This window comes from Homo sapiens, chromosome 3 (genome assembly GCF_000001405.40).
Source record: "Homo sapiens chromosome 3, GRCh38.p14 Primary Assembly".
Lineage (NCBI taxonomy): Eukaryota > Metazoa > Chordata > Mammalia > Primates > Hominidae > Homo > Homo sapiens.
Window position 1 is genome coordinate 191692295 of NC_000003.12, and position 16265 is coordinate 191708559.

General features: G+C 37.4%; 1 annotated feature.

Annotated features, from left to right (window-relative positions):
- Positions 10882-11655: an enhancer, noted in NCBI's record as "H3K27ac-H3K4me1 hESC enhancer chr3:191420965-191421738 (GRCh37/hg19 assembly coordinates)". NCBI's record gives its function as "activates a minimal SCP1, AML or CMV promoter by ChIP-STARR-seq in naive H9 embryonic stem cells {active_cell/tissue: H9 hESC(naive)}" and the evidence as "EXISTENCE:reporter gene assay evidence [ECO:0000049][PMID:30033119]".

Here is a 16265-nt window from a genome sequence, read left to right on the forward strand (position 1 = left end):
TTACTTTTAAGTATAATAGCCAATATTTAATTTATAATAATGAGCTGTGTCTTTTTATGCATTATCAAATTGAATCTTCATAACCATTCCTTAACATGGCTTCTCTTATCCCAATTATAGACTAGGAAAGAAAGAGTAAGAGAAATTAATTAAGTAATTCAAAGTCACGTAATTGGTAATTGTTGAGTCAGGTGTTCAAATTCTAATCCATCATACGTTAGAAGTAAAGTTATTCACAATTGGGCTTAACTGCCTTCTAAACTTTTCTTAAGCATTTTTAAGTGAATTCAGTTCAGAGGAAGAGTTTTCCTTTGACTTCTGTCTTCTGCTATAGAAACATCTATAGGTCTGAAATATGTTTTCCTTTTGTTTACTCACTGGGCTATAAAGAAAATTCTTACCCGATACAGAATTAGTGAAAAGTAAGGTTGTCTGAATATCACTCAGATGCTTCATAGTCCTCTTTAGATCTGGCAGAATAGCATCTTACCTTTAAAGTTGAAGAGAAGGATGATGCATAGTTCTTAATACCACGATGTAGTAAGGTCTGGCTTGTTCTACTTTTTGAGATAAGCAATATTCTCATCGTCTAGGCTGATGATTCCCAAACCCAGTGTAGTAAAACGCCCTAAGATGGTCACAATCATCCAAGCCCTTATGTAATTCCCTCCCCTTGATTGTGGATGAGATCCATAACTTGCTTCCAACTTGTTTTGTGTAATATGTGGCAAAAGTGATGGGATATCTCTCCCGTGATTGTGTTTTGTCATATAAGGTGCTATCTTAGCAGACTAGAAAAATAGATTCTCTTATAGCCTTGATAAAGTAGACACTATGTTGTGACTTGTGAAGAGAGGTACCTCTTAGGGAACTGGGGGCAGCCACTAAAGACCTGAACGTGGTCTCTAGCAGGCAGTCAGCAAAATGTTGGGTATCTCAGTAGACTACTATGCGGAAATAAATTCTGCCAACAATCTGAATGATTTTGGAAGCAGAGTCTCCTCAGTTTGAGCTTTCAGACACGAGTGCAGCCCAGCTAATGCCTTGAGTGCATCCTTGTGAGACCCTGAGCAGAAAAACCAGTTAAGTTTTGCATGGATTCCTGACCCAGAAAAACTGTAGGATAATGTGTTTTTATAAGCCACCAAGTATGTGATAATTTGTTATGCAGCAATAGAAACCTCATACACATGGTTATTTATCAAATTAACCTAGAAAAGCAAGTTAAAATATATATTCTTGTGGATTTTTAATTGTTTGCTTTTTATACTTTGTAAATAATTCATGAGCTTGGGTTGAGCCACGTATTTTTTAAAAAGATACATCATGCTTGAGAATAATCCTCAAAACGGTATTTGAAAATCAGTGCTCTAGACACTACACAGAAGAAAGCCCCTTTCAGGGGATTGCAAGTTAGAACATGGGGCCTGGGGAAAATCCCAAGTATAACCACATGAATGGATTAAATCTGAGTCTCTACTTGTGGGGCAAATAAATATAAAGGGATATCTTTTTCATTCAATTCAGGCCTGTTAAGAAGCAAAAGCCAAAACAGGAAATTAGAAATTTGACAGCTTTATTGGAGGAAATGCCTGCAAATCATAAAGGGGAATGGAGCAGGAGTAGGCAGTCAGAGGCTTCAGAAAATGACACAGATCTGACACTAGCGAAACAAAAGGGAAAGGAAGGCTTGAGCTCTTCCTAGCCTCTCAAACCTCGGCACAGCACTGTCTCAGCTGGGCTAAAGGGAATCCTCAAGCAAAAGTTGACTACTCAGGCAAAAATGGCCCAGCTACTACCACCACTGTGCCCAGTCATTGGTTAGAAGAAACCTGAGGAGCATGGCTTTCATGTTTGTATCTAGGTGGATCCAGGGGTGTGGCAGTGGGACTGTCAACTATGCTCCTTAGAGCACTTTCTCTTAAAGGGTATCTGAGAGACACACCTCTCTGGCCACTGAGAACTTTTAATTAAGTTATATCATACTCTTCTTAGATGTGTGCAGCTCAATCTATCTAAACCACTATCTTTTTCCTTTGCCTACTATCTGACTGAGAAACATGCCTGGTCTTTCTAGTGAAAGGAAAAAATAAGCGTCACACTGTTCAAGGAAATTCCCCCACATATTCCCCCCCAAAAAAGAGGTGGCTTTATTAGTTCAGATCTTGCGTGAATGTATGATTCAGTAAGAGCAGAGCATTTGTATAAAAGAACTTACACACATTCACATTGCCAAGTTTATAATGTAATTGTCAATCATCTAAGTCACTTTACATGTATTAAAACATGCTCTGTCACCCACTGGCTACCAGTGTTTTGTTATTTAGTTTTTACCTTCTCTTTTTCTCACTGTTTTCTTCCTTCATCTTTTTATTTGAAACCTTTTTTTTGTGTGTTCCTGAAGGCACGATATAACGACAGAAGTTTTTAGGAATTCCAAGAGATACTTTTATCCTTTTAGTAGGAACAAATTTTGCTTTCAAATGAAATTATATGAATTCAACTTTTAAATCGAACCCAGTTCTCATGAATAGACTTTTTGTAGTTGCTATATTACTTTAATTAATTATTTCCTCATTTATTCTTCATTAGGCACAATATCAGATGCTTGAAGATACCAATTTACCAATGTGTATAAGACATACACTTGAGTCAAAGAACTTGAAATACAATAGAATGAGGTGACACACATTGTAACTATGAAGTGTGGAATGTAGTGATTTAATTAAAAACGGAGGAATACAAAGTGCTAGGGAGATTCAAAGGAAGATTTTTCCTTTTCCTGGAGTAATCAAAGATGGCATTCATAAGTTGATGATTAAACTGAACCTTAAAGAAATGAGCTAAATTTGGCTTGTGAGAAAACGGAGGTGTTACACTGTGCAGAACCTGCAACCTAGGAAGACAGGAAACTTGTCAGATAAGGAATTATTTCCATTATTGAAAGAGCTCTATATTCCCCTTCTAACGTCCTCATATAGAGATCAGATTAGCCAGTTTATAGAGTAGTTAGCAGCTCTTAGACTTTGCAATCTTAGTAAACACTGTATTGAAGCTCAGTCTTACGATAGCAGCACGGTATGTTTAATAGAAGACATGGTAATTTTAGGTTATTTTGCTGCAGACTTTAAGAGGCCTTTAAGGCAAAACCCTTTCAGACTAGTTGCTTTATATCATTAAAAAAAGATAAGGGTTTTATGAAACATATTGCCCCTTAGGCACAGCTAAATCACTCTTTCATAGCTCAGATGAGGCTGGTTCCTTGAGCATTCAGGACTGTTTCAGTGCTAATTTTAAACTGAATGCTTTAGATAATTCCATATGCTATTTGAGCTTCAACTAGAAGGATACATTTGCCAATGCTAACATAGAGAATGCTCTTTATTTTATGGTTTTAAAAAAGTTTAGATTGATGGTGTCTTTTTAACGTGTTAATTTGTCTGCCAAGTGTGCCTTTTCAGGATGGGTGTTAAAATTTTGTCGGCCTCGTAAATGTGCTGCTTCCTGAGATATTTCTTTATTACCATGTCTTTGCAGGAAAGCACTTGCCTTAGAATTACTTTTGTGCATGTCTGATTCCTCCTTTATATTTACAGTTTCTTGTGGTGTAGCTTTTGTTTGATTCATCTTTGTAGCTCAGGAGTGTCTAGTATATAATAGGTACTTTAAAAGGCTTGCTGTATCCCATCATCTATCAGTATATCTCAATGAAACATAAACTACACTGGATGACCCTTGAATACCTTTCTTATGAGAGATTATGTGATCTCAAAGTGTTCCTCAGCTTTTTGTTAGGAGTATCTCATAGTACTAACTCATATAAGTTCAGGATTTTTTTTTTAGATTTTTCTATTTCAGCATCCTTATGTGCAGGCATGTGGGATAATCAAAGATGACATTCAGAAGTTGGTGATTAAACTAAACCTTAAAAAATGAGGTTTCTCTACCATTGTCTACTGTTATGAGAATTTTATTTTAATGATGTCAGGTAACTACCACTGGCAAATATGGATATCACTACCCTGGCCATGGAGGGGGGATTCAATAGGTATAAGTCTTTCCCTAATTACCCACTGCACAAATCAGACAAGGGTGCTGTGATTTTTAGTCAACTTTATTGCAGTATAATTTGCATGCAATAATAAATGTCTCCATTTTAAGTGCATAGTTACAAAAGTTTTGGTAAATATATTACTCATATAACTACCACCCCAATCAACATTTACATAAGCCTGGAATGTCCCCTTAGACCTTTTGTAAATAAATCCCTCCCATCCTTGCTTCAGGCAAAAGATGGTCTTCTTTCTGTTACTATGCAATAGTTTTGCATGGTCTAAAGGTTTTATATAAATGAAATCAAACAGCATGAACTTTTTTTTTATTTGGCTGCTTTCTCTCCATACAAAGTTTTTGTAATTCATTTTGTTATGGCACAGTCATGCACAGTTTATTCTTCTCTACCTCTGAGAATTATCCTGTTGTACAATTATCTCATGGTGTATTCATGTGTTGATGAACATTTGGATTGTTTCCAATTTTTAACAGTTATGAATAATTCTTTTATTTAATAGTTAATATTTTGTGTGGTTATAGGTTTTGATTTCTTTGAGGGTAACTATCCAGTCATGGGATTGCTAGGTCATATGGTAAATGCATGTTTAACTTGTTAAGAAGCTGCTAAATATTCTCTAAAGTAAGGATACCATTTTATATTTTCACCAGGAATGTACGAGAGTTTCAGCTATCCCATCTCCATTTTAGTAGTTGGAGTTTTCAGTCTTAATTTAGCCATTCTTATTGTTGTGTAGTATTATCTCATCATGAATTTACTTTGCATGACCTTGAATTAAAAAAATTGGCATGTTTTTATGCATTTAGCTATTTGTATATCTTCCATAGAGAAATATCTGCAGCCAGGTACAGTGGCTCATGCCTGTAATCCTAGCACTTTGGGAGGCTGAGGCGGGAGGATAGCTTGAGCTCAGGAGTTCAAGACCAGCCTAGGCAACACAGTGAAACCCCTCCTCTACCAAAAATACAAAAAGTAGCCGGGTGTGTTGCCTGTGGTCCTAGCTTCTTGGGAGGCTGAGGTGGGAGGATCACTTGAGTCTGGGAGGCGGAGGTTTCAGTGAGTCAACATCATGCCACTGCACTCTGGCCTGGGTGACAGAGTGAGACCCCCTTTTCAAAAAAAAAATCTGCTTGAACATTTTACTCATATTTTATTAGTTGTCTTATTATTACAGAATTGTAAGAATTCTTTATGTCTTGTGTATACAAACTCTTTTTCATACATGCATTGCCAATTATTTTTTCCTAGTTTGTGGCTTAGATTTTTATATTCTTAATGATGCCTATTATGAGAAAAAGGTTTTAATTTTAGTGAGGTCCAATTAGTTTTTTATTTTATTGTTCATGCTTATTATGTTATATCTAAGACATTTTTGCTTGCATCAATATTATTACTATTATCTGTATTTCTCTTCTGAAAGTGTTATCAATTTGCTTATGTTTAGGACTACCATCTATGTCAAGTTAATTTTTATTTGATGTGAGATTAAAGTTGTGATTCATTTACTTTTTATATTGATATACAGGTGTTCCAGCATAATTTTTTCAAAAGATTTTCCTTTCCTTATTGAAATATGGTACCTTTGATTTATGGTACAATTGATTTGAAGAATATCAATTAATGTGTCCAATTATTTCTGGGCTTAATATTCTATTTTATGGATCGCTATGTCTGACCTCACACCAATACCAAAATGTTTTGGTTTCTGTAGCTTTGAAGTAAATATTAGACTCAGATAAAATATGTTTTTAATCTTTATTTTTCTGTCTTCAAAATTTTAGTAGCTAATTTAGGTCCTTGACTTTTCCATATACATTTAGAATAAGGTTATCAATTTTTATAAAAAAAATGTTGAGTTCCAATTCTTTTGAATAGATAACCAGCAATGGAATTCCTAAACAATATAATAATTTTATTTTTAATTTTTGAGGAGTTGATATACCGTTTTCCAGAGTTGCTGCACCATTTTACATCCCATCAACAATATACAAGAGTTCTCATTTCTCCAGATTCTCTCCAACAATTGTTCCCCCCTTTTTTTTGGTGGCCCATCCTACCGATGTAAGGTGATATTTCATTGTGATTTTGATTTGCATTTCTCCGATGACTAGTGATGTTGAGCATCTTTTTATAAATTTCTTGGCTATATGTCTGTCTATTCTATTTGTCTAATTTTGCTGTTGTTGCTTGTGCTTTTGGTGTTGTATTCCAGAAATCATTGCCAAGCCCAAAGTCATAAAGTTTTCTTTTTAAGTTTTCTCCTAGAAGCTTACAGTTCCAGGACTTATGTCTAAATCTTCAATCCATTTTGGGTTGATTTTGCTGTATAGTATACAATAATGGTTCAATTTCATTATTTTGCATGTGGATATCCAGTTTTCCCATTACTGTTTGTTGGAGAATGTTCTTTTTCCTTTGCATATTCTGGGCACTCTTATTGAAGATCAGTTGACTATATATGCATGGGTTTATTTATGGGTTCTCTATATGTCCCTTCATTTTTATATCTATTTTTATACCTATTAAAACAGTACCATAGTGTTTTAATGACTAACATTTTGTAATGTATTTTAAAATCAGGAGATGTGATGCCTCCAGCCTTCTTTCTCAAGATTGCTTAGTCTACCTTGAAGAGATATATGCACTACCATGTTCATTACAGCATTATTTACAATAGTCAAGATATCAAAACAATTTAAATGTCCATTGACACATAAATGAATAAGAAACATGTGAAATTCACACACAATATATTATTATTCAGCCTTTTGAAAATCCTGACTTATGTGACAACATGGATGTATCTGGGAAATGTTATGCTAAGTGAAATAAGCCAGTCACAGAAGGACAAATGCTGCATGGTTTCACTTACATGAGGTATCTAATATAGGAAAACCCATAGAAACTGAGAGTATAATAATACTTTCCAAGGGCTTAGGGGCAGGAGAATGCGGAATGGGGAGTTGTTTCTCAGAGCATAAAGTTTCAGTTATAGAAGGAGAATAAGCTCTAGAAATCTGGTGTAGAACATTGTTCCTATAGTTAATAATACTGTATTTTATACTTAAACATTTGTTAAGAGGGTAGATCCCATATTAAGTGTTCTTACTACAAAAGAAGGAAGGAAGGGAGGGAGGAAAGAGGGAGGAAAGGGAGGGAGGGAAAGGAGGGAGGGAAAGGAGGGAAGGAATGAAGGGGAGGGAGGGAGGGAAGGAACGAAGGGAAGGGAGGGAGTGAGGGAAGAAAGGAAGGAAGGAGGGAAGGAATGAAGGAAGGAGAAAGAAAGAGAAAGAAAGAGAAAGAAGAAAAAGAAAGAAAGAAAAAGAAAGGAAAGAAAGAAAAGAGGAAAGGGAAGGGAATGGAAAGGAAAGGAAGAGAAAAAGGAGGAGGGAGAGAAGGAGGGAAGGAAAGAAGGAAGGAAGGAAAGAAGGAGAGAAAGAAAAGAAAAAGAAAGAGAAAGAAGGAAAGAAAGAAAGAAAGGAAGCAAGCCTAATCAATTCTAACCTGTGCAATTAAACAAAGATTAGGGTATTGGTAAGAATACATTTCCCTACAATTTTTTTTTAATTGAGAACTTCTCAAAATATAATGCCTTAATCCAAAGCAATAAATTTCAATTACTCTGAAAGGCCAAAAAAATAAGATTATTTGAGGAGAGAAACAACTTTACCTAATTATACAGTTTATAATGTACAATGAAATAAAATTCCCTTGAATTTAAGTTTATTATTACTCATTTGTAATTATCCTCATGTAGATAAGATGTAGGCTTCTCCACCCAAGTCATCTAACTGCTACATGCTTCTATGTTACTCACTGCCTAGTGAAGTTGAACTGTAATTTAAATAAAAAATATATATATTTTTAAAATGTTCTATATTAATTTTAGAAACCACATTGGGATTTTGCTTGGACTTTTGTAGAATTGACTGATAAATTTTGGAATAATTACAGTCATAGTTATACGGAGTCATTCTTTATCCATAAAAAGGGTATATGTCTTTGATGATGTAAGTCTTTTTTAATTCCTCTTAGCAGTATTTTATAATTTCAGTAAGTATAGGTCTTGTCCATGCTTTGCTCAAAATATGTGTGAGTTTACATACTTTTAAAAATGTTTAAACTTTTTATTGTAAAATAACTTTAGTCTCATAAAAGTTGCAAAATTATACATAAAATTTTCTTATGTTCTTCATGCAACTTCCTGTAATGACATATGGTTTGTAGGGTAGAGTACTGGCAAGGAGAACGTTGCATAGAGAAAACTAACAGAGTTCTACAGAGGATCCCCCCGAGAATTTAGTGGATTAAAGTCGGTGCATGTGTATGTGCATTTAAGGATGTGGAAAGAATCACTCAAAAGGATTTTAAAAATCTCTGAAGTGTAGAAAGGACTAGGATTATTGCCTCTTCTTACTAGGCAGGACAAAAATCCTGATCACTCACAGGAGATGAGTTAGAGAAGGCAAGATAATTTTTGCCTCAGGAAAGAAATAATTAACCTAGACCAAAGCCTGCTCTAATGCCACATAACAAAAAAGACCACATAACAAAAAAGATCACGTAAAAAGACCCTGAAAGATCAAACTTTTTCAAAATAAATTTGAATGACTTAGAACAAAAACCCATTAACATTTATAAAAATATGAAAACATCCAGCATCTAAAATATATATTTGACTATTGTTAGAATCCAAGAAAAATTACCAACCATGAAAAGAAATATGAAAATGCTTCCCATTATGAGGAGGAAGATAAATCAAAAGTGACCACAAACTGACACAAATGAAAGAATTGGGAGCCGCAGACACAAAAGAGTTCTTATAACTGTATTTCCTATGTTCAAAAAGGAAGAGAAAAACTGGAATATCTTCAGTAAAGACATGGAAGATATAAAATATCTGAATCAACCTTTTAGAGATGATAACTGCAATGTGTATGATTAAAAATACATTGAATGAGTTGAAAGGCATGTTTAGTAAAGGATGGAAGCATACTTGGTTGGATATAAATTCTTTGGTTCTCACATTCTTTCATTAATTTTTTTTTTAAATTCTGCTGCAAAACTTCTGCTTTGGGGAAGATGGAGTAGATACATTTTTCTTATTATTTCTGCTAATCATAATGGGAAATGCTGGATATTGTATATAAAACAAACATATGAAGACTTTGAAGGGTAAAAAGGAACAGGGAGAATGACTAGTGACCTTGCAGTTTTAGGAATGACATGTTGATGAGGTGTTTGTTCAGTTTAGTTTTGTTTTTTTGCCTCATATATCTCAAAAGTTGGCAACCCAGAACTTCCGATGTTTGCAGAAAGTAAAAGTACCCTTTTTTTGTGCCCTGCCAAAAGCCTGCTTACTTTAGCCAAAGTACCAGGAAAGTGACAGTCTAGCAAGACAGAACAGTTTTAGACAATAACTACTCTCCTCTAACCAAATACCTCAGAAAAATATGTGGCACTACCCTACCAGCAAAGACCAAGTAAGAAGCCTAACCACAGGCCCTCACGTGGCTACAAGATACTACATCCCAATCCTTCCAATGAGGTGGTGGCAAAGAAGGCCAGTAGGGATCCAGGACTTTCATCCTGGCTAAGCAGTAAAGAGTCCCATCCCACTCCAGGTGTCGGTAAAGACCGCAGGAAAGCCAGGAATTTCACCCCACATTCCAGTAATGGAGCACCCACCCCATCCCCACGGGGGAGATGTAGGAGGAAGCCTGGCAGAGAGTCAACCCTTTCTTCACTGCCTAGCACTAAGGAGGCTGCTCCCCACCCTGTAGTGTCAGTGGAGGCCATGGAGGGAGCCTAATGGGGCACTCCTACACCTGCCAGCCATAGAGGTATCAGTGAAGACCTAGTGGTTAATCTAAAATCCCACCTGCATTTAGCAGTAACGAGGAGCCCCCTCCCTTTTGGTAGTCAAAAAACACAGAGTAGTGACCTGGATTTTTCTACCACCACCTGGCGGTCACAAGGCAGTGTGACCTTTCCTTCCCCTGCTGGATCAGTATAAAAAAGGACCAGTGAAAACAGAAGGTTTGGAGAAAGATTGAGATATCATAACATTATACTCCAAATATCCAGGTTTCAATTGAAATGTACTCATCATACTGAAGAAAAAAGTGATCTCACTCTAGGAAAAAAGACAGCCAACAGATGTTATTCTAGATGACAGAAATGACAGAATTACCAAGCAAAGATTTAAAAACAGGCGTAATATAAATAATTAGGAAGTAAGCAAGGCAGACGGCTTGGCCAGGAGCAGCTAGAAGCTGGGAGAGAATCCTCAGGGTGGGGAAAGGATAAGTGGGAGATCCTTAGCGCTCCACATTCCCACTACAGACTCTTGCAACCCTAACCACAGGAGGGCCCATTGACCCTCACAGTCCCTGATACCAAGATAGGAAGCTGCCTGGAGACTGTGCAATGGCATTGCTCCTTAGAGGGAGCTCACGCTGGGTACCACACACACCCCAAGTCCCAAGCAGCTGAAAGCATGGCACCATTTTGAGAGCCCAGCCCCACCAGACTACATCCTGCCCTGGGGCTCAACAGCCCCTGCAATTCCATATTTCATATCCCCGGCTCTACATTAATATCCCCCTGCCTTTACTCAGAGGGTTTCAGTGGTGCCATGCCAGTTGGACCCGGCAGAGAGACAGAATCTCTGGCACTCTAGCACACACAGTATTCTGCACCCAAGGGATTAGGTTGTGCAGTACACTGGGGAGGTTGCACCCTGGACTGAGGGAGCCAAAGCATGCTTTCAGGGCCTGAAATTGGGCTGATTTGGACTGCTGCCACTGGCAGCAATCCCACCCCCATCCTAACCCACCCCCGGTAGCACTGCTGCACCACACTGGCATGAGCCTTGAGCACAGGCTCTCCCTACCTGCGGCCACAGTTGCAGCCACCAGTGGGGGCCAAAACATGTGCCACTGTCGGTGACCCCTCCCCGCCAGTAGCAGACTTGCACAAACCTTAAGCACAGGCTCTCCCCACCCATAGCCATAGCAGCTGCTGCTGCTGCTGCCAGGGACCAAAACAGGTGTTACTGGCAGTGACCCCAAGCTTCCCAGCAGCAGGGCCACCACATACCTGCACACACCATGAGAACTGGCTCTCTCAACTGCTGCCACTGGGAGCCAAAGCCCATGTTCCCCAAAGCCTAAGAGATGCCTGCCTATGACAGCTGCCACAGAAAGCAACCTTGCTCCCACCAGCAGCAGGGCTGCAGCACACTTGCATGTGTGTTGAGGATGGGCTCCTGCTGATCCTCATGAATGCTGCTGCTGTCACCTAAGCACTCTGCTGGGGCACTGGAGATCACTCTGCCTAGTCCACTATAGCCTGTGCCAATGCACAAAATTGAGGGGCCTAAGAACAGGCCTACCCAACCTGTCACTGCCCCTCCAGTGCCCAAATATGCCAATGGAGAGCTGGGGATTGTCCCACCTTGTCCACTGCTGCTAGTATCTGTGCATTCCTACTGAGAGCCTGAGGACAAGCCCATCAAACCTACTGCTACCATCACAGCTGGTACCTATCCACAAGCACAACCCAGGGTTCCCTGGATTGGCCTGCCCAGTTCACTTCAGCTACCACTAACACAAGTTCATGCCCACTTTAGGGATTATCCTCCCCTTGTCCTGCATAATGGTTGTCCTCCCACTGCAGTGGTCATTCTTCACACCACACATGCCTTCCAGGAACACAATGATTCTCTCACCTGCCTGACCCTCTGCTGACACTGCTGGTACCTGAGCAAGGTGCCTGAAGGTCTCAGAATCAGCCCCCTTGGACATGTTAACAGCGATGATCACATATGCCACTGACTGGCCAAAGAACAGGCAGGTGTGGTCCACCACTGCCACCACTGGGGCCTGAAGACTGCCCCACCATCTACATACACAGCCTTGCACTAATAATCACAGCCCAAACCAAAAGTAAATCACAAAACAATCGTGTTTATAGCCAAAAAAAATGTATACAGAGACTATACTACAGCACATACCCAGAATAAAAGCCAAAATGCCCTACCTAACCAAATCCAACCAAATTTAGGAAAAAGCCCTCCCCTACAAAAGCTAATCCAAAAAAATTGGAAGGAGCAACTATCACACCAGATGTTCAGATATCAAAGTAAAAACACAAGAAACATTAAAAAGTTTGAAAAAAAGAACCTGTAAAGTAACACAATAATTATCCAGGAATAGATTTCAAATAAAAATAAACTTATAAAATATAGAAAAAATACAGAAAAAAATTTTAAATATAGAAAAAATTCAAAATAACAATATTAAGGAAAATGCAATACAAAAGAACATAAATAAACAATACACATAAATCAGAAAAAATCAGGATATAAGTGAGAAATTCACCATATATCTATCTATCTATCTATCTATATATATATATGACATAAATTCTGGAAGAATACAATGTGTATAATGATACATTGAAAGCCTCAACAATAGATGACCAAATGGAAGAGATAATTTTATAACCTGAAGGCAAGTTTTTGGAAATACCCTAGTCAGACGAAAGTAAAAGAGAATAAACAAAGCATATGTGACACATAAGATACTATAAAATGACCAAATATTTGAATATGGGGGGGGGGGTTCCAGAAAATGTAGAGAAGGCCAAAGTTATAGAAAATGATTTAGATAATTTAACAAATTATTTAACAAAATAATAGCTTTAAAATGATCAATTCTAACAAAATATTTAGATATCAAAATACAAGAAACTCAAAAATTTCCAAGTAGATATAATCAAAAGTTATTCTCCCAGCCCATTATAGTTAAACTGTCAGAAGTAAAAAACAAACAGATAATCCTAAAAATAGCAAGAGAGACAGCTATCCAGTCACGTGCAAGAGAATCTCCCGTCAGACTTATGGCAAGATTCTCAGCAGATAATTTACAAAGTAGGAAAGAATGGGATGATATATTTGAAGTGCTGAAAGAAAAAAAACCATTAGTAAATATTACTATACCCAGCAAAGTTATTCTTCCTAAGTGAAGGAGAAATAAAGTTTTGTCCAGAGAAGGAAAACTGAGGGAATTCATTACTGCTAGACTAACCCTATAAGAAATGCTTAAAGGAGTCCTACATCTGGAAGTGAAAGGATGATATCTACCATCATGAAAACACACAAAAGTATAAAAGTCACAAGCAGAACAAACAGACAAATAAGAAAGAGAAAGGACCCAAATGCTTCCATGAAAGAACCATCGAACTGCAATAATAAACAGTAAGAGAGAAAGAAAGGAACAAAGATTACACAAAACAACCAGAAAACAATTAGCAAAATGATGGAAATAAACCCTCATACATATTACCTTGAATGAAAATGGTTTTAAATTTCCACTTAATACATATAAACTGGCTGAATGGATTTTTTAAAACATGACCCAACTACATGCTGCCTACAAGGAACTAACCTCAGCTGTAAAGACATATAAAACTAAAAAGCGAAGGGATTCAAAAATGTATTCCATGTAAATGGAAATAAAAAATAAGCAGGAGTAGCTATACTTGTAGCAGATAAAGCAGGCTTCAAGTAAAAAATAAAAACTGTAAAAAGAGTCAAATATGGTCATTATAAAATGAAAAGAAGGATCTGTTCAACAAGAGGCTATAATAATCCTAAATATGCACTTAACACTGGAGCATACAGATACATAAATCAAATATTATTAGATCTAAAGAGAGTCCAATACAATAATAATTGGTGACCTCAACATCTCACTCTAAACATTAGATAGATCATTGAGACAAAAAATTAACAACAAAAAATAGGATTTAAACTGCACTTTAGTTCAAATGGACCTAACAGAGATCTACAGAATATTTTATCTAACAGCTGCAATATACACATTCTTCTCATCGGCACACAGAACATTCTCCAGGATATATCATTTGTTAGAACACAACACAAGTCTCAACAAATGTTTAAAAACTGAAATCATATGAAGTACCTCCTCAGAACACAATATAGTAAAATTAAGCATCAAGTAATGAGTAGAACATTGGAAAATGTACAAATACATGGAAATTAAACAACATGTTCCTGAATGAACTTTGTTCAATGAAGAAATCAAGAAGAAAATAAAGTTTAGAATAAATGAAAATTGATACATAACATACCCAAACCTGTAATATACAGCAAAATCATTGTTAAGAGAAAATTTTGCAGCAATAAATGTGTACATTAAAAGAAAAACAGAATTATTTCAAATTTTAAAAATGTGATGATGTACCTCAAGAAACTAGAAAAACATAAACAGACCAAACCCAAAATTAGTAGAAGAAAATAACTAATAAAGATCAGAATGGAACTAAAATAATAGAGACTAAAAAAAAACACAATGATCAACAACATGAAATGCTAGTTTTTAAAAAAAGATAAACAAAATCAGTTAGTAACTAGCTAGACTAATCAGAAAAAGAGAAGACCCAAATAAACAAAATCAGAAACAAAAAAAAGGAGACCTTGCAACTGACACCACAGAAATACAAATGATCATCAGAGAGATAATGAATAATTATATACCAATAAACTGTAAACCTTAGAGGAAATGGATAAATTCCTGGACACATACAACCTATCAAGACTGAATCAGGAAGAAATACAAAAACCTGAATGGACCAGTAATGAGCAGTGAGATGGAATCGCTAATAAAAAGCCTCCCAACAAGGAAAAGCTCATGGCCAGATGTCTTCACTGCTGAATTCTACAAAACTTGTAAAGAACTAACACTAATTCTCTCCAAATTATTTCAACAAGTTGGAAAGGAGAGAATTCTCCCTAACTCATTCTGTAGGTCCAGTATTTTGTCGATATAAAAACCAGCAAGGACACAACAACAACAACAGAACCACAGGTCAACATCCCTGATGAACATTGATGAAAAAACTCAACAAAATAGTAGCAAATCAAATCTAAGAACAACACATCAAAAAGATAATACACCATGATCAAGTAAGATTTGTTCCAGGGATGATAGGATGCTTCAACATATACAAATAAATAAATGTTTTATGTCACATCAACAGATGAAGGACCAAAAACAGACACATGAAAAGCATTTGATAAACTTGAACATTACTTTATGACAAAAAACTCTTGACAAAATAGGCATAGAAGGAGCCTGACTCACCACAATAAAGGCCAAACACTGAATGCAGAAAAACAAAGTCTTTTTTCTAAAAACTAGAACAAGATAAGGATGCCCACTTTTACCATTCATATTCAACATAGTACTATAGGTACTAGCCAGAAAACATCAGACAAGAGAAAGAGGTAAAGGGCATCTAAATTGGAAAAAAGAAAGTCAAATTGTTCCTCTTTGCAGATGGTGAGCTCTTATATTTAGAAAAATCTAAAGACTCCACCAAAAAAACTCTCAGATCTGATGAATTCAGTAAGGTGGTGATAGGGACACTGGGCAGAGAAATTCTAGCCAGCAAAGGGCAGGTCCCCACTGAAACCCCACCCTCAAGCTGAAAAACCTGAAATTGCTGCCCAAAGTGAGAACTTACATCCCTGTTTACTCACTCAAATGTTGCTTTTTTCTAAACCACCCAGGGCTCTGCCCTGCTCCATCCCGTGCCTATAAAAACCCCAGACTCGGCCAGTAGATGGGACTACAGCAGAATGTCAAAGTGGCTTGACTTCAAAAGGACAGCGTGATGGTGTAACTTTAAAGAAGAATTGGCTGGAGATGGCTAGAACTCAGGGAAAGATTACCTACCTGCCCCATCCCTTTCCCCTTCCCTCTGAGAGTGACTTTCGTCAGCAATAAAATCCTCCTCATTTACCATCCTTCAATTCGTTCGTGCAACCTCATTTTAGCTGGATTCTGGGCAAGAGCTTGGGAGCCACGAGTGCAGATACAAAAGGCTGTCACACTGGCCCTTTGCTCTGGCTGGAGGAGAGCAGCTGCTTCACACAAAAAGGCAAAGGGCCCACTGAGCTGTTAACACTTAAGCCATCCATGGATGGCAGAGCTAAAAGAACATTGTAACACAACCTTTGGGGCTTCGGGGGTCACAGGCACCCCTGCCTGGATGCTGCTGCAGGGCCAACATGGAGTTTGCTCCTGCCAGTGCCCAGAAGTGGCCAGCTGGATGCCATACTTGCTCGCCTACTTTCCCCTTCCACAAGGAATTGAATGTGGTG